The 24425-nt window shown below is 40.2% G+C and overlaps 1 protein-coding gene and 1 long non-coding RNA gene across 13 annotated transcripts in view; one reads left to right on the top strand and one right to left on the bottom strand.

Moving 5' to 3' along the window:
- Window positions 1–24425, bottom strand: part of SGCD (sarcoglycan delta) — a 1039957-nt gene that overhangs the window by 37621 nt on the left and 977911 nt on the right. The gene's annotated exons all lie outside the window — the stretch shown is intronic.
- The window catches only part of LOC105377673 (uncharacterized), a 45769-nt gene that overhangs the window by 19799 nt on the left and 1545 nt on the right, over window positions 1–24425 (top strand). For 2 of the 4 annotated variants that reach the window (XR_007059012.1, XR_007059013.1), the window contains one exon: window positions 15000–15443. The exons of 1 other annotated variant lie outside the window; for it this stretch is intronic. This is a non-coding gene — a long non-coding RNA (uncharacterized LOC105377673). Of the gene's footprint in view, window positions 1–14999; window positions 15444–24425 lie in introns of those variants that run through there. One more of the 4 variants, XR_007059014.1, reaches the window with a different exon arrangement.

The following is a 24425-nucleotide window of genomic DNA, read 5'->3' as shown; positions in this document are numbered from 1 at the left end:
TGTTCACTTATCTGAATCTTAAAGGTAATAAAAATTCTAATTATATACTTGTAATAAATGTGTATATTGTCTTTAGTGTAGGTCTGGACTATATTGTGGTACAATTGTGAAAGGAGGTGGAGAAAACCTCTCAAATGCTGCTGAAGTATTGGAGATGCACAATGAAAAATTTTTAACTTGCCTCTTTTTGGCCATTGTTTTGATATTTCAGGTGGTTCCCTGTCAGAAGTATAATTTCATTTTACTTGGCCTCTTGGGATTTTTGCACTTCCTTTGTTGAAGAACTAAATGGAATGGCTTTAATCTACATAGTAGCTCACAAAGTTATGAAACTCTAAAAAGAATTGTTCTGTTTTCACTTCAGGGCCTTGCTGAGGAGAGGGGGACATGGGATGTTAGAAGTTATTTTTAGTTCTGCCTATGGCTGGTAACGAGAATATTGCACATTTTACTGAATGGAGAAAAATTACTTATATATACTAACCTTGATTTTATAATGTAATTTAAATAAAAGGTCAGCCTGGGATGGCTAATCTTAAAAGATCAGGCAGTAAGACACTGATAGAAAAGATAATGATGATATCATTTAGTAATATTCATTGAGTGCTTCTTGTATTCCAAGAATTACTTAAATCCTTTATGTGTATCATCCCATTTCATGCTTGCTACAACCCTGAGAGATAGATCCCATCATCAATTCCACGTAGCTAAAGCATGAGAGCTCACAGCCTAGTCTCACTGCCTCTGAGGCCTTTGCGTTAAGCCACTGTTAGAAGTATTTCTGTTAATACACGTGGGAGATTTTCACCGGAGAGATAGAGAGTAAACTAAGGCCTTACTGTCAATGCCAGTCAGGGGGATGGTAAAGGCATGTGGCTATAAGAAGGACTTGTTCTCAAAGGAAAGCTTCGCATGTAATTGTGTACTAGTCTTTATTCAATCACAAGGCAAGTAAAAGCTCCTCAGAAAAATCCAAGAATGATATATAGCATATGCCATCTTTTGATGCAAAGCAAATTCTCTACATGGTACAGATATCTCTGCTAATAATGTTTATCAGGATTATTTATTATGAGGCATTAAAATAATTTTTTTCAATTACTTTCTAATGAAATGTACCAATTACCTTTTGAACGGTGACATATGGCTGTAATCTATTCCAGTAAGGATAGACCTTGTTTACATAAGGTTTCAAGGGCTTCTTCCTGAACTGCATTAATTACAGATGTAAACAAAGATAGAGGATTATTATCACATTTAACGATTAATCCTCAACTTCATTGCAATATAGTTCTCTGGGTTAGACAACATCAATCATCAGTTATGGTGCAACTCTTTTATACAAGTGATGTTTTTGCAACTCAGGTGATTTTGGAGCATGTTTATGAATGTGTTTGAATCCTGGGGTAGTGAGGGAAAAAGTCACACAGACCATTGTGCACGGTGAAGTTGAAAAAAATGCTACTCTAAGCAACTGTTGGCTTATCTTTTGGCTAAGAAATAAATAATTATGACAGAAAAATGTTAGCCACTATTTTAAAAAGTCTTATCTTGGGGTGGTGGTGGGGGGGCACTGCTGATAAAAAAGAATCAAGCTTCTATCAGTTCTAAGCATGTGCAGTGACTCTACCTTTTTTTTTTTTTTTTTTTTTTTTTTTTGACAGAGTCTCGCTCTGTCACCCAGGCTGGAGTGCAGTGGCGCAAACTCGGCTCACTGCAACCTCCACCTCCTGGGTTCAAGTAATTCTCCTGCCTCAGCCTCTCAGGTAGCTGGGATTACAGGCATTGCCACCACACTCGGCTAGTTTTGGAAATTTGGTAGAGACGGGATTTTGCCATGTTGGCCAGGTTGCTCTACCTCATGCAGTAACTTTTTTCTGAACATGGGAGGAGAGAGAGGAAGAAGGTACCATTACTATGAGAATTCCAGTTTCTGAGCAAAGGAAAATCTATCATTTTGAGATTGCTTCCTTCCCTGTTCAATGCTACCATGGGTTTCAGAATGGACTCTGAGATTTGTCACGAAGTTATTCTTCTCTGTTTCTGATTATCTTTTGGTCTTCTTTGAAAACTTCTCCAAGCTTCAGTTTACCCAACTGTTACAAGAGGATAACACTAGTAGTGACCTCACAGGATTGTGGGGAGGATAATTGAGGTATTTAATGTAAGATACTTAGAACAGTGTCCAGCACACTTTGCTATTTCAAAATGTTAGCTGTTGTATTGTTTATGGATTGAACTATTTAACATTCACAGGGTAAACAGGAAAGTTTTACCTGTTCTTATCTCTTCCAACTGCCTTTTGTACTTTACATTGAAAATAAATTTGTATGAAAGATGGAAGGTGATTTATCAAGGGAAACCCAGTGTATTAATTACCTTCTCTATTAAGTCCTATGATAGGTAATTTATGCATATAATCTTATTTAGTTCATGACTCATGTAATATTGGCATTATTATTCTCATTTATGAAGAAACCAAGATAGACAGAAAAAAACCCAGATCTAACTTCACAGTTTTGTATTATTTCCAGAGTGCTTAAGAATTTAGTTTCTAGCATATACTTGGAAACACTGCTATTCTAACATTATTTTTGCCAACTTCTGCTGAGTTTTTGCTAATATTTTGAATCATTTTAAGAACCTAGGTATTCTTCAGTTCTATATGTTTTTAACAATTGACCAGAAGGTAGTACTTGGTCTATCTCCAATCAAATATTGAACACTGGCTGTCCATTGACAAAGATTCTTTGCTTGACCAAATTTTAGTTGGGCTTCTGAACTTTCTCCTTATGCCTCTTTTCCCCACTCCTTGTAAAATCCAGCTTTAGAAATAACTCCCCCTGCTACCCTTGTTATCAGTTTGAGTTCCTCATCCTCCACCATCCCCCTGGGTCTGATCACCTGGTCTTTCTCTGCAAGAATCCTGTTGGGTCAGTTGAGTCAGGATCTCCCTCACCCCTGATGCTTCCTCTTAGTTATTTTCTATCCATTGACCCTCACCCTGCTACTTGGCTGTACATTCCCAACTTGCAGTGTTTAGAGTTGAGCCCAATTTCTCTCCCTGGCTGCAAAACCGCAGGTGCAGTGGTCCCTGAACCTATTGCAATGGTCCTGAATAAACATTACCTTCATTTTGAACACTATCCTATAGATATTTGAGGCTTGGTTATGTGTTACCATAGTACTAAATGTAGAGAATAGGACAATGTACTGTTTAACAGATTCTATTACTATCCCTGTTTTGCATCCAGAAAACTGAGGCACAGAGAGGTTAAGTAACTTGACCACAATCATACAGATATGTAGCAGCAAAACTTGGTTTTGAACCCAACCATTCTGGCCCTAACATCAGCACTGATTACACTTCCTCTCCTGTGGAAGACAAACCTGACCATTGAAATATAACAAAAAGCAGTTATTGTAAGAGAATTAGAATGAGATGGAGAATCTGAGCTGGGCCTGGCGCGGCTAACCCATGCTTGAGGAGGGGACCTTAAGGAGAAAGAAACAGGAGATGGAAAAAAGACTTCGTCAGGCTGAAGGAGCATAAAGAGTTTGTTAAAGCCCAGGGAGTTGGAGAGGGGTGAATAGGCCATTAGAACCTTGTTGGCTGAAGAAAGGAGTATGGGGTCTTTCCTTTAAAGGCAGTTAAACAGTGAATTTCATGGTAGGCATGGTAAAACTGTGTTTAGAGAGACCATCTGGCTTCAGGATAGAGAAGATTGCAGAGTGTGGTACACAAGTTAGAAAGTAATTATGTAGGATAGAGGTTAATGCGCAGAGGGATGACAACCAGATTTATATCTTAAGTCTGACAACACAGCACAAGGAACAGGGAAGAAGCTAAGGGGTTAGGTTTTGGACATGTCCAGATGCCCGTGCTATTTTCAGGAGAGACAAACATTCTTAGGGGGCAGTTTTATTTAGGGTCTGAGGCTGACCCTCCTCATAATTATTGTAATAGGCAAGGTCTCTGAAAAGAAAACAAGATGCAAATAGTTCTAAAATATTTCAGGAATTTCAGAATGTTTCAGTACGGCCATCTTCAAGATGGATTACAAGAAGATAACCACTTACTTAGACACAAAACAAGATCAAACAGTGACATAAATACAATTGAGAAGTGCAAAATGCTTTGGAGATGACTAGAATTTGAGAAAGGAAACGTTAATATCCAGTACTGGAAAGTGACAGATAGAAAATAGTTGACAGAAAGCATAAGAGTAATAAACTATCAAGGAGAAATATGGATGTACGAATTAATAACCATAAAGATAATTAAGAGTTGTTGATTGGAAAGCAGAAAGTTTGTTTTTTTCTTCAAAGATGGGAAGATCATTCATTATATTGTGTGCAGACACGTTAGTCAATTTATCAAGCCTGCCAATGCCCTTTCTGAGAAACTCTGTTCCCATAACCCCTGCTGAGCAGGCAGTGGGCAGACTCCCTGGACTGAGATACTTGGAAATGGGCTGGCAGGATATTTTACCTGGGGCAAGAGTGTGGAATTGGCCAATCTCTGTTGGCCACTCTGGCTAGGGTTGGGGTGGCTATTTTGTTTTATCACCAGCAAAAGCAAGGACCTTTCCCTCCAGAGAAAGGGATCATCTGTCTTACAGATGGAGTCCAGTTCTTATTTATGGAACCCATCAGACCCAGCTGGCTCTGGACTCCATCTCACATTCCTGTTTCCTCCTCATACATTTCCATAAGCTGGCTGAAGTAGTCTTGTTTCTTTCTAACCAGTTCATCCAGGGCTAACACAGCTTTACTCAGATGCTCAAGTGGTTTTAATAATATCTATTAATAAATCATAGAACCTCAGAGTAAGGAGGCCCTGGCCCAACCTTCCTTGCAGAAATGGCTCTCTACAGCATTTCTGATATGCAACGCTTCTTGATCAAGCATGGTTCTCCCCTGAGACAGTGTAAGTCATTCTTAGAGCCATCATTCTAGACAACTCCTTGGAACTCCAGACTCATATTGTTGATCAACGTCTCCATGACTGTGTTTCATCTTAGACACCCAAACTCAATATGCCCCAAATTAACTGGGGCATTTCCTCCCCAAGTCTGACCCTCTTACAGAACTTCCTTTCCCAGTGAGTGGCATCGCCACCCTTAGTCACTACCTAGGATTCCATTTCTGATGCTGTGGAAGTCCAACAGAGCACTATGTGAAACCTCAGAAAAATGAGCATGCTGGAATTTCAATCATCTTACATTATATTTTACTGCCATAAGTACAAAAAAACAAACACATTCTTAGCAAAGTAAGAGATCTCAAGCTGGAGGATATATAAGAGGAGAAATTTCTCAAGTCTCTCCAGATTGGCATGGATTGATGGCTATGGGATTCTGTCTCTTCAGTGTGTAGTCTTGCCAGTTTGCAGGAAGACCTAACTGGGGGCTTATAGATATTTATACCCCTTAAACATATCATTCTGAAACTCTAGCACAATTAACTCACATACTTGTAAACAACCACCATAATAAGTCTTTAGAAAGCTGAACCACTAGAATAATATCTAGTTATATTTTCTTTCTTTTTTTTTTTTGGAGATGGAGTCTCGCTCTGTCACCCAGGCTGGAGTGCAGAGGCGAGATCTTGGCTCACTGCAAGCTCCACCTCCTGGGTTCACCCCATTCTCCTGCTTCAGCCTCCTGAGTAGCTGGGACTGCAGGTGCCCGCCACCATGCCTAGCTAATGTTTTTTTGTATTTTTAATAGAGGCGGGGTTTCACCGTGTTAGCCAGGATGGTCTCTATCTCCTGACCTCGTGATCTGCCTGCCTCGGCCTCCCAAAGTGCTGGGATTACAGGCGTGAGCCACCACGCCCGGGTATCTAGTTATATTTTCTTATGCCACAGTTACATCTTGCTCCATTGGTTACATAACAGTAACTAGGTGTCCTATGTGAACATCATATTAAACCAACAATGTCCAGTGCCTACCCTGGTGCAGTGCATTATCTTCCATGCCAGATAACTGAACTGTGCACATGACAGGCCTGGCCAGAGATTTCTACAGTCTTCGTGCTCTCCCTTGCCTCCCAGATTCAAATCATCACAATTTGGGTTTACCTCCTCAAACTCTTGTTAATCTGTCACTGTGTTTTTACACCCACTGTCATCACCTTGATCCAAGTCACTGCCATCTCTCCTCTGGAACATGAGAATAATTTCCTAACTCTATTTTCACCGTGCTCCCTTCCCATCCATTCTGTACATTGCAGAAAGAGTGATCTCTTATAAATACAAATTTGCTCATATTATGCATGCATGCATACACACACACACACACACACACACACACTTGGCTTAAAACACTTCAGTGGACTCTCACTGCTCATCAGCTAACAAGTGAAAAAACTTAACATGGCCCACAAGCCCTGCGTTGTCTGGATTTTCCTTACCTCTGATCTCTAACCTTGATCATGCCTTCCTTTCACCTCTCATACATGCCACTCCCGTGCCAGTCCTTCTCCTGCTCATCCTCAAGAGCGCAAGTCAAGCATCACCCCCTCAGGGGAGGCTTTCCTCCTCATTTGAACTAGCTCAGGTTCCTTCTATTACATGCTTTTGTAGCATCCTGAATCTTCCCTTCATAGCATGGTTAACTGCTGCAATTTTGCATATATTTACGGTATTGCTGGATTCATTTATTCTCCTCACTAGAATATTAACTGCACAAAGAGAGGAATGTTTTTTCCTATTGTTTTGTTCACTGCTAATCCCATTGGTAGGATGATGCTGGCAACGTTTAAGTCTATAATAAATAGGTGTTGAATGAGTAAGTGAAAGAATGCTCACCGTTGAAACTCTGGCACCTAGCTCAAAGATTGGAGCCTGCAGCCACTGAATGAATGTGTGACAGAGGAAAGATGTTCAGGAGCAGGATGGAGGTGACAGTTCAGTGGGATGCAGGGTGAGCAACTCTCCCTCATTTTACCTTTCAATCTCAGATAACTTGGTGCTCCTTCCCTTTCATTCCTTGTAGTAATCCTGGCAGATATATCATTTAAAATATAATTTCATCCAGTTCTGTCCTTTCCGTTAAATTTGGTAGTGCTGGCATTACAGAAGCTTTTAACCCTCTCTAGGCAAAGGACTACTCAGAACTTCACTTCCAGTAGGCATATTCGTTTTTTAAATGTCTAATTTACTAGCAAGCAAAGATTATACAAAAAGCTTTTACCCTAAATGAAGACATATTTGTGATTCAGAAAGTGATTGCACCTTTATTGGGCAAGATGGAGGAAAGATGGTGGCTGGGTCCCCACAAAAAGGTGATAGGATGTGTGTTGTCTTGTGTGGCCCCAGAGAGTAGTCAAAGATTCAAAAGTTAGAAGTAGAAGGGAGAGATTTCAGCTTGTTATAATACAAAACATCCCATAAGTGGAATGGTCGACCTATAACTGAGGCTGTTTATAAAGTACAAATGGCTGGCTGCCAGGGAATGTATAAGAATAATTCTGGAACTGGAAGAAGCATTGGATAAGATAAACTCCAAGCTTCTTTCTCTGAGATTCTATATTTGGTGTAAAAGTACACATTGTATTTTAGGCTTGGGAAGAGATACTAAAACACAGTGTGATAAGGGGAGCTTGAACAGTCTTGGAATAATTTATCATGGTGAATTCTGAACCTGTAGCCCAGGATACACAGTAAACCCAAGCCAAGAGTAGTGGCTGTATAGACTTTATGACAACACTGTCATCAGGGCTTTGATTGTAGTTGTGACAATATAAAAATCATTAATGTGTGAGTATTCACAGCTTTCTTTCCTCCTATGTCTGCCAAGAATCAAACTTGGTCTTGCCTGCTCAGATTATCTTCTCTGTTCTGTTCCCTTCATTTGCAGAATTTGTCTTTGCTACTCTGTTTGTGTGTTGTTTTTCTTTAGAGCTTTCAGTATTGGGAGATGCAATTTGAGAGGAGAGGCTAATTTGATCTACTTAATAAAAAAGAGACAAGGGGGAGGCAAAAGGAGAATCGACTACACTGTGGGCTTCTGAGTTAGTCAGCAGAATGGCGTTCCTTCCTAAATTACTTCGCCAGTGAAATATGATTTCGCTCTAGGAATAAACTATAGGGCACTCAAGGCTTATAGAGATCACAGTCATTCAAGAAATAATCATTATTTCTGCGACTGATCATGCTTTTCAGTTGCCAAGTACTTTTGTAATCAATTGCTCTGGTTCTTTGGGATTCCAATTGGGAGACACTGGAATCAAAAGAGAAGGTGATATAGATGTGACAGTCTTCCTTTTCTTTTCTAATGACCTTGCTTCCTATTTCACTAAGAAAAAGACAACCATCAGAAGAGGACTTCCATATATTCCCAACACCCACTCACTCTGCATCAGTCCTCACCTTGTCTCCCACCCTGTTGCTCTACATGGACTCTCCATGCTGCTAGGGTTCAGCCCTTGCTCACACTCTGGGTCTTCTCTTCCCCACTTGAGCATACCATCTTGCTAGCCTCTCTTCTGTATCATCAATTTTTCTTTCTCTCTTGCTTCACTCTAATCTGCATGCAGATGTGCTCCATTAGATCCATTGATCCCAAATTCCCCTTCAACTACTGCCTAATTTCTCTCCCTTTGATATCAAAACTCCTTTAAATATTTGGTGATTTTAGCTCTCTCCATTTCCATGATGAGAAAAAACTGAACGGTCCAGTGCCAGTTTCATTAGTCAATCTTCCAGCAGCATGTGACACCATTCATTGTTCCTTCCTTCTTGAAACTATCAACACTGGCCTTCTGGAACATCTCTTTCAATTATCCTCTTATCTCACTGGCAGTTCTTTATTAGACTTATATACTGGTTCCTCCTCATCTTCCTGACCTTAATCAATACTTACCTCCTAGGTGATCTTAACCAGTATCCTGGCCTGGTTACCATCTCTACACAGATTACTCCTATACTGACATCTTCTGCCTTGAACTCCATACTTGTATATCCAACTTAAAACATCTCAAACTTAACACATGTACACTAAACTTCTGATTTCTTCCCCTCCCCAACTCTCCAGGCCTAGGCCCCACCAGAGCCTTCCCCGTTTCCGCTGTGTGCAGCCTCATTTTCCAGTTGCTCAGGCTACAATCATTGAGGCTATCACTGATCCTTTTCTCTCACATCCACACACTAACATGCCAGGAAATCCCATTATCTCTGCATTCAATATATATTCAAAATCTAAGCACTTTTCGAAATGTCTACTGCTGCCATCCTAGTCCAAGGCACCATCCTATCTTCCCTGGGTTTTGCAAAAGCCTCTTTAACTGATCTCCTGGCTTTCCTCCCTGCCCCCACAGTCATTTCTCCTCACAGAAGCCAGAATGTAATAAAGGTGGCACATCTGGACCAAAGTAGTAATCCTTAGAAAGCAAACTTTATGAGCAAAAGGTAACTTTGAGTGAATTAGAAAATAAAGATTTCTTTGGGAGATTGCCTTTTGTTTCAGAGTACAGGCCCTCTGCTGGGCACCCATTGATTCTTCATGACCCTGATTTCAGGCCTTTGCTCAAAACCCACAGGTGGTAGCCACCTCAGACAGGGAGAGAGGTCCAGTCTTTACATCATCCAGAATGCTTCATTGCATCTGGCTCCGTGCTGCTTCTCCATCCTCCTGTCTGAATATTCTTCCCCTTTTTCACCCTGTTCTAGATACATCAGTTACTGTGCTCTTCCCCGAACAAAGCATGATACATCCTCAGGACCTTTGCACAAACACATTTCCCCAAATATATACTTGGCTCAGTCCCTTCAGGTGTATGCTTAAATGTCAGCTGATTAGAAAGGTCGTTCCTGACCACCCATTTATAACAGAATCCTCCCCAGATGCTCACCTTCCTACTGGTCCTACTTTCTTTTTTCTCCCTAATATTTATTCCTGCCTGACCTTTGCTTATTAGTTATATGGCCTGTTGCATCTCCTTTCCCCATAATTGGTGCTCAATATCCATTTGTTGAATTGATGCTCGGTGACTGTTCATTGAAACACTTAGATAAAAAGTGATGTACACAAACGTGGTCTCTTTTGGCTCCTTGTGGCATCTGAAAGTTCTGCCAGTCCTCATTCCCTCCTGCAGAGAAGGCAGGGGTAGAGCTTCTGGGACTACCAGGGTAGGAGCTAAGTACCTGGAAGGAGCAGTAAGGCATTTGAGGTGGGCCTCTGTTAGAGAGTGTTTCTCTCTGGGTCAGTCTTTGGTAAAAGGAGATTAAGGAGAACTGTGTAATCCTTGTGACCCAAGTGTGATCCAGCTCTGCTTATTAAAGTCTACATTGGGGTTTGGAAACAAAAACTGACAGATAGCCAAAAAAAAAAAAAAAAGTTTCTTTGACTGCCGTCACCCTCTGTGCTTAGGGCCTAGGCTAAAGGGTCATCTTGTTGGTTCCCTCTACCTATCACCCCTCTTACAGACCTTCACTAGTGGATGTTCTGGGAACTTTCCTTTCATCATATGACAGCCGTTTAAATTGCTGGGTCCTGGCTGTTTCCTAAGTTTCTATTGTATAGTGCAACACCATCCACCACAGACTATGCATTTAGGTATGTACTCTGCAGTACTGTATGTCCACTCGAAAAATAATTATTAATGTGCTAGATACAGCAGTTAGGCATATTAAACTGAATCTTGCCCTCATTCAGGTTACAATCTCTAATGGTTAATTATATGTGTAAACTTGGCTAGGACACGGTGTCCAGATATTTGGTCAAACATTATTCTAGATGTTTCTCTGTGTGTGTGTGTGTATATATACATCATATATATATCTATAATATATGATGAGATTAACATTTATATCAGTGGACTTCGAGTAAAGCAGATTAGGCTCCAGAATGTGGGTGGGCCTCATCCAATCAGTTGAAAGTCTCAATAGAACAAGACTGACTTCCCTGGAAGAACAACAGTTGTATCAAAAGGCAGTCTTTTGGCAAAAAAACTGCAACCTTTTCTTGGGTCTCCACCTGCTGGCCTACCCTGAAAATTTTGTGTGCCAAGCCTCTACAAGTGTGTGACCCAATTCCTTAAAATAAATCTTTTTCTATTTTCCCCACCTTCCACTTCTCTCTCTCTGTATGTGTGTGTGCATATTTGTATACATAAACATAAGAGAAGGTTTCTCTAATAAAGTGGCCCTGGGGCTGTGACATCAAGGGTAAGGAGGGGTTAGGCAGTAGAGGAGGAGAAGAAAAGAGTATTACAGGTAGAGCAAAGAGTTTGTCAAAAGACCTGTGGCCTTATTTCTTTTCATCTTTATATATATATAATATAATACGTAGCTGGGACTACAGGCATGTACCAACATACCTGGCTAATTTTTTTCTTTCATTTTTTTTTTTTTTTTGGTAGAAATAGGGTCTCACTTTGTTGCCAGGCTGGTCTTGAACTCATGGCTTCAAGCGATCCTCCTGCCTCAACCTCCCAAAGTGCTGGTATTATAGATGTGAGCCACCATGCCCATTTCATCTTTAAAGCACTTGGAGATAGATACTACTATTATCCCTATATAAAATAATTTATATTTTTTTCTTTTTATGAGACTGGGTCTTGCTATGTTGCCCAGGCTGGTCTCAAACTCCTGGGCTCCAGTGATCCACCCACCTCGGCCTCCCAAAGTACTGGGATTACAGGTGTGAGCCACTGAGCCTGGCCTATTATCCCTATATTTAAGATAAAAAAACCAAAGCACATTGAGAAGAAACACCTTTTCCAAAGCCACATACTTGGGACATGGCATAGTTGAAATTGAGGGACTTGTACTTTGAACCAACAAGTTACAGTGCCCATTCATATTGGGAGAATTAGGGAAACATTCATACCCTACTATTTTCTGACTCATCTGCTACTAATGGATTCAGCTTGAAAGGGTGTATTATTTTCATTTCATTCACGTACTCCTCATGTGTACTGCATAGTACTTATGTCAGGCCTCATGCTAAAGGTTGGGAATTCAGAGAAGAACATGGCATGGAATTTAGGAAAGCTTAGCCTAATGAGGAAGACAGACATGTTTGTATTACAATGCAGCTTGTGAACAGTAAGCATCTTTGGAAGAGAAATGGAGAGGCCAACACAGAGAAAGTAGCTTTTGAGCTGCACTTGGAAAGATGTTTTACTATAACCAATTATGACAAATCTTGGTTACAGTTAAAACAAGCAGACATAGAAAGTACTGTCAGGATGGAAGAACCTTATGCCTACAGATCCCTAGAGGCAGAGGCATATCATGCCACTCAAGAGGGGTCACATAGGAAAGCCTTGGGGGTTGGTCAGGAGGCACAGGGAGTGAAGGGAAAATGTGGGCAGGAGCCTCTATTGTGGGTTCCATGGAGAGACCAAGCAAAGACATAGCAAGCTTAGGATGGGCTAGTTTGAGGAATTTTTCAGTGGTGTTGGGTGGAGGGGCTGTCCCCAGTTGTCTGGCACCTGACCCTGGAGTGATTAGGGGAGGGAGACAGTGGTCCAGAAAGTGAGAGCCTGATCATGGAGGTGGTTGGATATGTTCCCTAGATTAGATGGTTTGCATATGAAATAAGGAGGTTTGCAGGTAGGCAGCTGTTTGCTGTGTCTAGGAATTCACCAACCCTGCAAGAGGCAGTTCCTCCAGCGTCAGCAATTCCCCCATGATGTCAAAGCATCAGAATACAGAAAATAAAGATATTGTTAACTCAAATGCAGATAAGTTTATCCAAAAACAATGAGACAAGGCACTGCAGGGAGAACCACACCATGTACAAGACCACCAAGGCATGAGGGAGCGTCATGGTTTTGAAGAATGACAGTGTAGGATGTAGTTGGAGAAGAGCATTCACGAGTTGGGTGGGAGTCAGTATTAGAGTGAAGCACCTTGTAAAGAAAGCTAGATCTTATCTCCAAGCAATGGAGTGACACTAAAGGCTGCAGGAATGGATGTATTGGTTAAGAGACAGTGTTTCTCTCTCTTTGAGGCATCCTATGTAAAGTGACCCAGTTAAAGCCAGCACAGCTTTTCTTAGCATTACTTTAAGAGGAATTCCTTTGAACTGATTATTTGCTCACCATCTGGTGCCCAGGTAAATGCTTTAGATGTTTTCCTTTTAAAAATATTCAATGTATTAATTTCACACATGAGGAGAAATCATATTAAATCTCACTACATAATTAGCCAAACCACAAATACATTTTCAGAAACAAAGATGACTCATGTTGTTTCCTAATTAAACCTTGAAAGGTTTAATTAAAAAGCATAATATGGAGAAAACTAGTTTAGAAAGAATTGGGGCTTAGCTTCCTGAATGTGTGCCTAAAGAGCTTCTCTGTTCCACCCCTATCGAGGGAGGAGGAACAGATGTGTAAATGACATAGCAGTCCTTTACAGGGGATGGGCTGTGTTTCTATCATGCATGACACGCTGTCTCAGAGACAAGGGAGCTGGTTAATGGGAAGGAGAAGCCTTTTAAGGAAACAAAGCATTCTAATCCTTCTGTGCATTAGATCCGGAAAACACCATAGTGAACTGGCAATGCAGCAAAATAATGACCATAGTAGAACATTTAAGAAGTGGTTACTATATGCCTAGCACTATGCTGACTGCTTTGTATACAGTGATTCCTCACAACCACTCTGAAGTAGGTGGTATTACGCACATTTTTCAAATAGGAAAACTGAGGGCACAGAGGCAAGAGGCAGAGCTAAGACAGCTTGTCTGACCACAGGGCTGTGTCTCCATCACATTCAAGTCCCCTCTGGAAATCAGTGAGAAACCAGTGAGCCCTGGAGCAGAAAATGTGCAGTGGAAATCCAGGTGCTTCCTAACTGTGAGATTTCTAGCCTCAGTTCCTCATCCATAAAATGGGATAATAAGACAGTGGCAGGAAGTGGTGAGGTTTGAGTAAAATAATGCCTGTTAAACTGACAAGGGTAAGCACATCATGGATATCAGATCTTAATGCTTCTTTCACCAGTGCTTTTATCATCAACATCAAAGTTAGTGCATCCTAGCAGAATTTTATGTCAGGGTATTTAGGAGCACTGTGGGGTAGCTCAGAGGCTGATCAGGCTGAACAAAAGTGGAGTAGTAAGGCTGTCTTGCAAATTTTTCTAGTTAAAAAAATCATTTATACTAAATATAGTTTCGGCAATACACGTTCTTTTCTTGCAAACAATGCTGTCAGTGCCCTGCTTCAAACCATGCAAAGACATTTAAGAATTTGTTTAAACATCTTTGCCTTGGCTCCCTGTGAGGCCCCGCAGGATTCTGACCTGCTTACCTTGTCTTGCACCACTCTTCCTTTCTAAGAACACCTTGGCACAGTGGTCACTCTTCTGTTTCTCAGAAAAGTACTTGCTCTATGCCAGGCACTGCACAGAGCATCAATATGAGGATGATCTCTTTTAATCCTCATAACAGCCTTATGGGGCCTGGTGTTTATCTGTACTTCACAGTTGTGGAAATTGAGGCCCAGGCAGGTTAATTAACCAGACTGAAATGACATAGTTAATAAGTGGCAAGCTGCAATTCAAATCCAGGCACTCTTGAATTACAGTCCAAACAGTTAAACTTTACACAATATAGCATCTCTCAGTCTCATCTTGTCTAGAAACTCATAGCAGCTCCAAGTAAATGCACAATGAATGAAGGAAAGATTGATGATGATGAAATGGCGGCATGGATTAGTCACTCAGGATGGGGGAAAGCCAACATAATGAGCAAGCCAAAGCTGACCGAAAAAGACCATTTGCAAGCCCTAATTGTGCAAGTGTAACAAGTCCACCTTTCTTTTCAGTTGTGCCCTGCATAATCCTCACTGAGTTTGAAGTCTGACTTCAGCAACCAAATTACCCTTTGCTGATGAGTTTCCACCAGTCTTAAAGGCTATCATCTCCTGTCCTTTCCATTTACTCTAGAGTCAATTCATAATAATTGCATTGAATTTAATCATTATTCATCTTACCTATTTCCTACTTTCCCCTTTCCGTTATTATTTCTTAATTAATTTCAGGACCAAGACAAGTGGCAAGCCATATGATGACTGACCAGAAACATTAGAAAGAATGGAAGATGGTTTCCTGAAGCTTCGCTACTCTGGAGGTGGAATGAATTGTGCCAAATGTCAACTTCTATGGCTCAATGAGCCCTTTCCTGAGCCTGTCAACAGTGAACTAAAGAAATACAATCTCTGTTTCTCCAGTCAACGGTAGAACAGTGCTTGCACTCCCGATATTTATGGATATATTTATACAATTCTCACAAACCTGACACCAATGGCCTGGGATCAATGTAGACAAGTGGTAAAGAAAAACAGAATGATTCTCTGAAAGGATGCATATTAAAAAAAATAAAAGATTTGTGTTCTGAATGGCTTGTTTTGAGAAAAAGATATGCTTCAACTGAGATCTACATGATGTAGCAAATAAAAACAGGTATGAAAATCCCTTGAACTAAATTTCACTGGATTAACACGTCCGATCAATTCTCATTAATCACAACAGTTATGTTTTATCAAGGCACTTCGAATGCTGGAATCACGGGTACTAAGTCCTTTTTCCTTTGAGCCACTGCTCCTAGGGGAAACATAGGCTTAGGTTTCTGTGAGCCTCTGGTCATGACATTTTTGTCAACTGATCAATACATAACTTTGTTTTATGTGTGTTTCTGTTTAAAGATACCTTATTTAATAAATAGTATTGATTTATTAATATTGATCTCATAGCCAACAGGACTGTACCTCATGTTTGATGAAGCTTATCTAACACATATTTTTCTCTATAAGGCACATGTCAGCCTTCTTGTGCTTAAAAACACTAGACAGCACTTCAGGACTATAGTTGGGGGCCATTTTAAACAGCAAAATCAAAGGACAAAAGTGCAAAAAATGTGGCAATCAATAGACCATGAAGAAAGATGCTTGTTTACAAGAAGAGCTGAAACAAAGTGGCAGAACATCACCTGGTTCCACCTCAGCTGGGAGTGTGTATGTTGGATGACTCCAATTTCTTACTGCTCTACACATGTCCATAAATAAATGTGTAAACACAGTGAATGTGGATTCTGGGTTACAAATAAAGTTTAGAAACAGGCAAATTCACAAGTATGGAATTTGTGAATAATGAAGGTCAATTATAAATATGAATCCCAAGCTTATAATTTGCAATTCCTTTCACGTATGCTGGAGTGAATAGGAAACTAGAGCATTTAGTTGACACAATTGGGACTCATACCAGGATCCTCTGTGAATGCCACAATTAGCTCTTTGAGCTGGTGAAATCACTGGATTGGTGAAGGGATTAGGATTAAGCAGCTCAAAGGCAAGGCCACTGTGTAATACGTAACTCCTTGTTTAGTTGGGAAAATACTAGAAGTTGGCTAACCTAGCTGAAAGAAACCAGAATATCTCAACTCCTTTGGCATATTTTGAGATGCCTGTTCTGAGGGGCTGCAGATCACAAAACTAGCCTTGAAAAGCTGCCCTTTTGTTCGGGAGATTTGCATCTGGAGAGGAAATCCACATTAGTAAAATGAAGTAAACAACAGATGCAAACAGACTTTCTCTGAGGACCTCTTATCTGGATCTAGGAAAGATTAACTCACAGGAAAAGGAGGCTGAAGTCTGACAATATAAGGTTCTGACAGAGAAGCGTTTACCACAAGCTCCTGTCTGTTCCTTCTGAGAGCTGCTACCTGAGAGGTTTCATCTGCCTAACAGGACCCCTTCACTCCCAGGCCTTTCCTCCTCTCTCCCTCCTATAACGCCCCCCCCGACATGTTCAAAGTCCATATTCTTCCTGTCCCCCCAGGATAATATAAAAACTTCAGTCATCTTAGCCCCTCTTCTGAGTCTCACTCTTCGTGTATAACTAACTCCCATGTCCATACATGTGTTAATAAATATGTATACCTTCTTTCCTGTTAACTGGTCTATTGCCAGTTTATTTTATAAACTCAAATTATCAAACATTCACTGATGGGTAGGGAAGGAAATTCTTGTCTGTCCTACCTAGCCAAGTCGTAGTGGACATTTTGGGGAGTATCTCCTCACTCATAATAGTCTCCTGTACCTGCCCGGCTACCCCTAATCATAGGGGATTTCTACCTGAGAGGAAAGTTGATTGTTGGGTCCCTCACAGCTGAACCTGTATTTATATATTAATTCAGTCAATATTTATTCAGACCCTACCATGTGGGAAGCATTTGTCTCTCTAGATGATGGCAAGAGAGACATGAATAAGCTTCTCATGAAGCTTACATTCAAGTATGGGGGATAGATAACAAGTAAACTCATCAGTTTCCCACTGGTTTAAGTGCAATGAAAGGAAAAGTGAGGTGATTGATTGATAGACAGTGGGTGGGAAGCCAGGCTGTCCTGGAAAAGGGGTTGGGGAATGCTGCTCTGAAGGAAGAGGGGCCTGTGGAATGGCACACAAGTCCGAGGGTGGAGCACAAGGGCTTGGTGTGTACCACAAAGACCTGGGTTTGCTCCGCTGCGTGAACTGGGGAGCAAAAAGAGGAGATGGAGTCAAGCCCAGACCTTGCCTCTAGTGTTTCCTGAGAAACTGGATGTTGGTCCTTGGATTCTGTGAGAAACCTGGCAAGCTGATACATTTATCTCTACCTTTTCTTAACACACATCTGTCTAGTCTCTAATATTTGCAAACAACGGTTCCTACCTAATACAGAAGTCGATTGGTATAGTTAAATGGAAACATTACCTTGTTTGGGAAAATAAACTTTAATTTTTTGAATATGACTTCATAAGATGAAGACAGTGTTTTGTGACTGCCACAACACTCTCTATACCAACAGCTCATTTGAACAAGTTTTCCAAAGATCTGCCAAGCTTGCGGCATACCTTACCCCATCCTGGAACCACTGGCCAGAGAAATACATAAGGCTGTCATGACTCTGTCTGAGGCATTTAAACCAGAGCAACTTCATTCTGAATAGGGGCTGGATAAAATAAGGCTGAGACCTGTTCCCAGATGGGTAAGGCATTCTAAGTCACAGGATGAGATGGGAGGTCAGCACAAGATAGAGGTCACAAAGCCCTTGCTAATAAAACAGGTTGCAGTAAAGAAGCCAGCCAAAACCCACCAAAACCAAGATGGCAAGGAAAGTGACCTCTGGTTGGCATCACTGCTACACTCCCACCAAACTATGATAGTTTACAAATGCCATGGCAACATCAGGAAGTTAGCCTATGTGGTCTAAAAAGGGGAGGCATGAATAATCCACCCCTTGTTAAGCATATGATCAAGAAATAACCATAAAAACCAGCAGTCCTCAGGGCTGCTCCGTCTATGGAGTAGCCATTCTTTTGTCTCTCTACTTTCTTAATAAACTTGCTTTCACTTTAGCCTATGGACTTGCCCTGAGTTCTTTCTTGCATGAGATCCAAGAACCCTCTCTTGGGGTCTGGATCAGGACCCTTTTCCTATAACACCTCTACAGAGAGATTTATTTTGCTTTGGAGAATTTCAGAAAGTCAACAAAATATAAAAGCTGATTTCAAAAATTGTACTAGATGAAAGCCCTCAGGGATCTCTTGCCAAGTAAACTCAGGTCAGTGCCTGGGGTCAACCTTTCCCTGAAGTCACGGCAAGAAGTGAAGTGCAGCAATTACTGCTCCTAACAGAGGCCCATCCTCTGGCAAAATACAATTGATTAAAAAGTACTTACGTTGATACTGAAGGGTGCCAGGGATGCTTGCATCAAAAAGTTAGTTTTTACCCATCTTCACTTTCCTTCTTATCTGTGCTTGCTCTCTAAGGAATATATTGAGAGATACATTTGCAGGAACTTAGTAGTAAGCCATCGAAGCTACATCAATGGTGGCCATGTGGACACACAATGTTTACTAAATGTTACTAAAGTAGGAAATTCTAGAACTCTGCCTCTATGGGGAAAACACTGTAAAGCACCTGCAAACCAAAAATAAAATTCTAAGCCCCCCAAAGAACTGAATGGACCCCCCCTCTTGACCAAGGGGATTCCAAAAAACCCTGAAACACTGGTTCAGGCCATGATGGGAAGGGGGCATCAAACTTGCCTCATTATATGCTTCTCCCTTGGTAATTCAGGGACAACTGACCAGTATTAACATTAAAACAGAGATCTTAAGACTGACCAAACAGACCCTTTGTGGCAATAAGATACCAAATTCTAACCTGACTCTAGTATAGTATCACATGACAAATAGCAGGTCCTGAAAGAAAGAAAAGTATTTTACACCAAAATATATCTCTTTGACAAGGCTATCTCTTATGGAGTAAATTTACATTCTGTAGAGAATCTTCTTCCCTTTCCAGGTCTTTTTTGATCCTGAAGAGATTAGCTGAGAGTCCAGCACCTTTTGAAGGTCTGCATAGAAAACATTTGCCATCTATTGCCTCTAAAGATGACCACCTATGAGACTTCATCTACATTGTAAGAACTTTGGTCTTCACAATCCCTTATCTAAACCGAGACACTCTATTGACTCCAGATCTTTAGATAATAACTTAACTCTTTTAACCAACTGCCAATCAGAATATCTTTGAATCCACCTTTACCTGCTTTGAGTTGTCCTGCCTTTCCAGATCAAACCAATTGCACATCTTACATGTATTAATGTCTCATGTCTCCCTAAAATGTGTAAAACCAAGCCATAACCCAACCACCTTGGGCACGTGTTCTCAGGACCGCCTGGGGCTGCGTTATGGGTCATAGTCCTCACATTTGGCTCAACATAAATCTCTTCGAATATTTTGCAGAGTTTGGCTTTTTCATAGCACACCTCAGAATGTTGCTCTGGATTTGAAAAATGGAAGTATTTTTCAAAGTACCTGGTGTAACCAAGTAATACTGCCACAGGGTATAAAAATATTGTTTTCTCAAAGAGGCACATTTTGGCTGGTTTTTCTGAGAGTGTCAGAATTGGCACTGGCATCCAATCATTCACTAAGTATTTACTGAGCACCTCTTCTCCATCAAGCCTTGGTTTATGTATAAATATATGCATTTTCTGAATTTTTAAAAAGCTCCTAGTTTCCTTTTTGTCTACCACTATTCTATCAGGCATGGAATACCTCCTGCAACCTTTGGTGGATAAGACTAATAAGGAAAGGAGGCTCAGGACGCAAGAAAACTCTCCCAAGATCCCACAGCTGCAATGCTAAACAAGGGCTTCAAGACTTTCTAAGCCTGGTCTCTTTCTCGGTGCTTTTCAAACTCTTCTATCAAAAGTCCTTTATGGCTAGAAGACTGTGAAGTTGGAGTTTAGAGATGCAGTATGCTTTTCTTGTTGATTCCCTTCCCATTTCCCCAGAGTAGGGGGCGGGAGGGTGGCGGCGTCGGGGGGGAGGGGGCGGCAGGAACATAAGTACCAAGAAGTTTCAACTGCCCCATTCTAAGCACACAATACAGATCACCTGGAGAATGAATTTCTGCTCTTTTCAAACCCACGTTTCTTTCCTGGCAATATTACTAATGGGTCAAAGAAAGGAGAAAAAGCAAGTGTGCAAGAGTATAATTCATTGTTTATACAAGTGGTGGCTTGCAGGGATATAAAAGCAGTTCCCCAGACACTCTCAAGTATATAGGATTATTTTAATCCTTTTCATATCACTCTGAATTCTTCCCTCCAGCCCTTATTCTCTTCAGTTTTTGTCTTCAGCACAAACCCTTTTTTCCTGATTTTCTTCCCAGATTTTCTCCCAAGGTGGAGCTGGCTAGGCCTCAAGCCATTGTGACTCTGTGCAAGTACTTCACTTGCATGTAGTTACTCTCATTACAACAGTGTTAGTATGGAGAGGAGGTGAACAAGGAAGGGAGTGGGAGCAATTTGACCTCATTCAGACCCTGCTCCTTTTAGTCAAACTCCAAGATATATTCATGACTGGATCACTTCTGTGCTCACAGTGGAAATACTCTGTAATTTCAGGGTCTCTATTTTTGGCACCAGATGGTCTTCATGACCTCTGCATATTGTCCTTGAAGGGGATCAGAGTATGCCATCCAAAACGTCACTCTGCCATAAGGATTATTTTGAGTTGAAGGCAACTGAGAAACATCAGACACAGAAAGCAGCTCTCTATCTTCACCTTTTTTGTCTAAAAGAGGGGTATAAATTTCCCTTTGTGAATGTGTTCCCCCTACCTGCTCTCAGCAAGACTCTAGGCTCTTATTAGCTGATAGATGGTACCGAGAGGAGAGGAATATATGTAACAAGCCCTGCTAAAATAACCCCTGCCTTCCATTAGGTTCCCCATATGTTTACTTTCCTAGAATTCACTGCCCTAGAGGCTCAAAACCCTTTCCTTTGTCTTCCTTTGTCTTGTCACTTCTCTAAGAATTTATTGCTGTTTTTAAAAATGGTATATAAACCTCTGGATCTGACTGTCTCTTTGGGGTTTTCACTTCATTTCTGTGAGGTCCCTCTCTCACACACGCACACACACGTATTTACATTCCCTCCTTCAAAATAGTGCACTTTCTCTTTGCTCAATTCTGCAATAAGCAGAATTTACAATGTATTTGAAGAGTAGTGCTTTATCCTGCAAATTCAAACAAATTTAGCATCTATTCCTCAATACATCTGTTTGTATGTTCGTTATGTGTCTGTGAATTCAGCTGTTGAAGTCTTCAAGTAAGACTGATGCTCCAGAAGATGTGTATTATTTATATTCTGAATTTACATTCTGAACTTCATTTTACCACTATGCACTCTGCTTAATAAGTCAAAGGGAGGACAATTTAACTTATACCATGCTGTCTTTCACCTTGACCAAAACCAAAATAAAACAAAATGATATTGAACTCTATGAAATGTCCTTATAGATCACCTCTCCAGCAGTATCAAAAATTTAGTCATGGACATTCTACCTGCATTTTCATTTCCTTTTTTTTTTTTTTTTAATAGAATGCTTTTCTTAAAACTAAAAGGCAACTTTGTTCTATTATCATACATGGGAAATCAACATCCCTTGTCCCAAAGAAGATAACCAAAAAATTAATACAATAAACACACAATGCTTTATCTAGAAGCTATTACATACCAAAAGGCTCTGATTTCAAAGTCCGTTCTTATCCTCAAAAAGCAGAACAAGTAACACCAAGTAACCCCAAAACTAGCACCACAAGACTTAATCTTTGGCTTAATCAGGATCAGGATGGTAGAATTCAAAAAAGAATGGCTCTCTCACTCTGTTATTTGATATACAACCTAAAATTATCCTGAGTGACACCAGTGGTATGCTCTCCACACTTTGGGAAACACTGACATAGTCCAATCTCTTCTGTTATTGTTGAAGAAAATACAGCTCACAGAAATAAAGTGAATTACTTATTACTAGCAGAGCCAAACTTAGTACCTCTTTTAAACCCTTAATCAAGTGCTTTCTCAGGTACACAGAATTCTCATTTGGGAAAAAAGAAAAATGGCGTTTAAAAGTTATTTTTCAGTTTCCCTGTAATGAGTGTCTATCATTATTGATTCAATTTACATTATTAATGGCTTGTCCAGTGATCTACTCCAACATTTTTCTCAAAATTACCCCTAAAAGGAAAGGAATAATTCATTGTTTATTAAAAATATACAGACTAGTTTTCATAAACAAGGAACACATTATTTCAAATTTATTTCTATTTTCTTGTATCCTTCATTTGATTTTGTTCATTTTGGCTCTTTCATGTTAGTTACTGTCTAGAATCACCATAAAACTTCCCTTATTAAAAGAGAAAAGACTGGGTCTGGTAGTAAGATCTGATAGTGCATTAAAATGTGTAAAATTGAAGCACATTCTAGCACTCTTTACTGAGAGTAATAATTATAATAGATGAAGAAGATGTCAGTCTAAAGAGATAACTTTATTGAATAGAATAGGCATGAATCCAGTTAATGTGTTCCATGACATGCTGGTTGGCATAGATTTCTAATATGTACTAAAATGCCACCCTGGTATACAGACAGGAATAGATGGAAAGGCCAATGAAAACAAATATTAATTTATATATAAAAATGTCTGGCCTTTTATGAAAACATGCTATGCCAAGAGCCCAAAGTTTGTGAGTTTTGTTTAATCTATGACTATGCATTTTTATGTATGCATCTGTGATAGAATAATATTTTGATATAAAAGTGGTTGTGTTTTTTGGAATACATGTCACTTTCTGTTATTCTGTTCTTTCCCCTGTTCAGGTAACAAATACTATATTCTATGCAAATTACTTTAAGTAAGAAATGACAGAAGGATGAAGTCAGTAAGACTTCAAGTTCTTGGCTTTTGCATCTCAAAAAGGCTGGATTAGGGTATAAACAATGGGTTCTGAAAGATCAGTGGAAGAGTCAGAGTAACATACCAGACTGAATCAACAATCTGCAGATAAAGGATACCTTAGAACAGCAGAGGAAAGTTTAGAGAATAAGGAGTTCCTGAGAATGGGCCTTAGTCCCTATTTCCAATTTCCCTGAAAATTCCCAGTGCAGGGAGGAGCAGACTATTGATTCCTCCAGGTAATTCTGGGGACTCTGATTGCTGAGGGAACATATATTCTCTACCCTCTTCCCAGGAAAGGCCAGCAAAGTGTCAAGATTTCAAGAAGAAATGGCTCCCTGGAAGAGAGAACTGATGGAGTACGTTTCAGTGTGCCTCTGAGTATGACACAGGAAGGAGCAAAATGTTTCCCACCACCTAAGGGTGGCAGAAATGTGACATTGAAAATGGATGTAGTGTGGGGTCTTAAGGCGGGGTTAAGGAGATACAGCTACACACTGATCATGATCAAAGACCAATGATCAAAAATCAGGGGAAATACAAGCATTGTGGCAGATAACAGTGTATGTGGAGAATGACAAGGACCCAACTTTTACTGTCCAAAAGCCTTTCATGACATTAGTAATCCCACTGTAATTGAGATAAACAATCAGAGTGAGATGACAAGACAGTGATGTCTTGAATTAACTGATAATAAGTTTATGCTATCTAGAAGAATGGGTGATCTACATGAATTTTTTTTAAGTCCTTAAAAATAATAATCCTTATGGGTTGGAATTTGTACCTGCTATTGATACACATAATTTGAAATTATATATCCAGAAGGTAGATAATATGCTAAACTTCTCTATCGTTCATAGAGATGAGCAAGAAAATAGTAAGGGTTTAAATTTATCTTTCAAGTGACTTTTACCTTAGAATTTCTTACAAAATTGAATATGATTATACCAGGTGGTTGATTGAAGTATTTTAGTAAACATATTTGAACTCACCATGAATGAAAACACGAAACTACAAAATAGTAGCGAAGGACAAGATGTAAGTCACATCACTACTAAAGGACTGGCCAAGACACAAAGTCAAATATTAGCGTTCTCTGAAGTAAATTAGTAAGGGACTATTCAATTCCTTTGATCTCAGAGTCCTGACAAAGAAACTCATCTTCTTTAAGATATATG

The sequence above is a fragment of the Homo sapiens genome, chromosome 5 (genome assembly GCF_000001405.40).
Source record: "Homo sapiens chromosome 5, GRCh38.p14 Primary Assembly".
NCBI lineage: Eukaryota > Metazoa > Chordata > Mammalia > Primates > Hominidae > Homo > Homo sapiens.
Note: the sequence above shows the minus strand (reverse complement) of the source record. Positions and strands in the feature narration are given on the sequence as shown.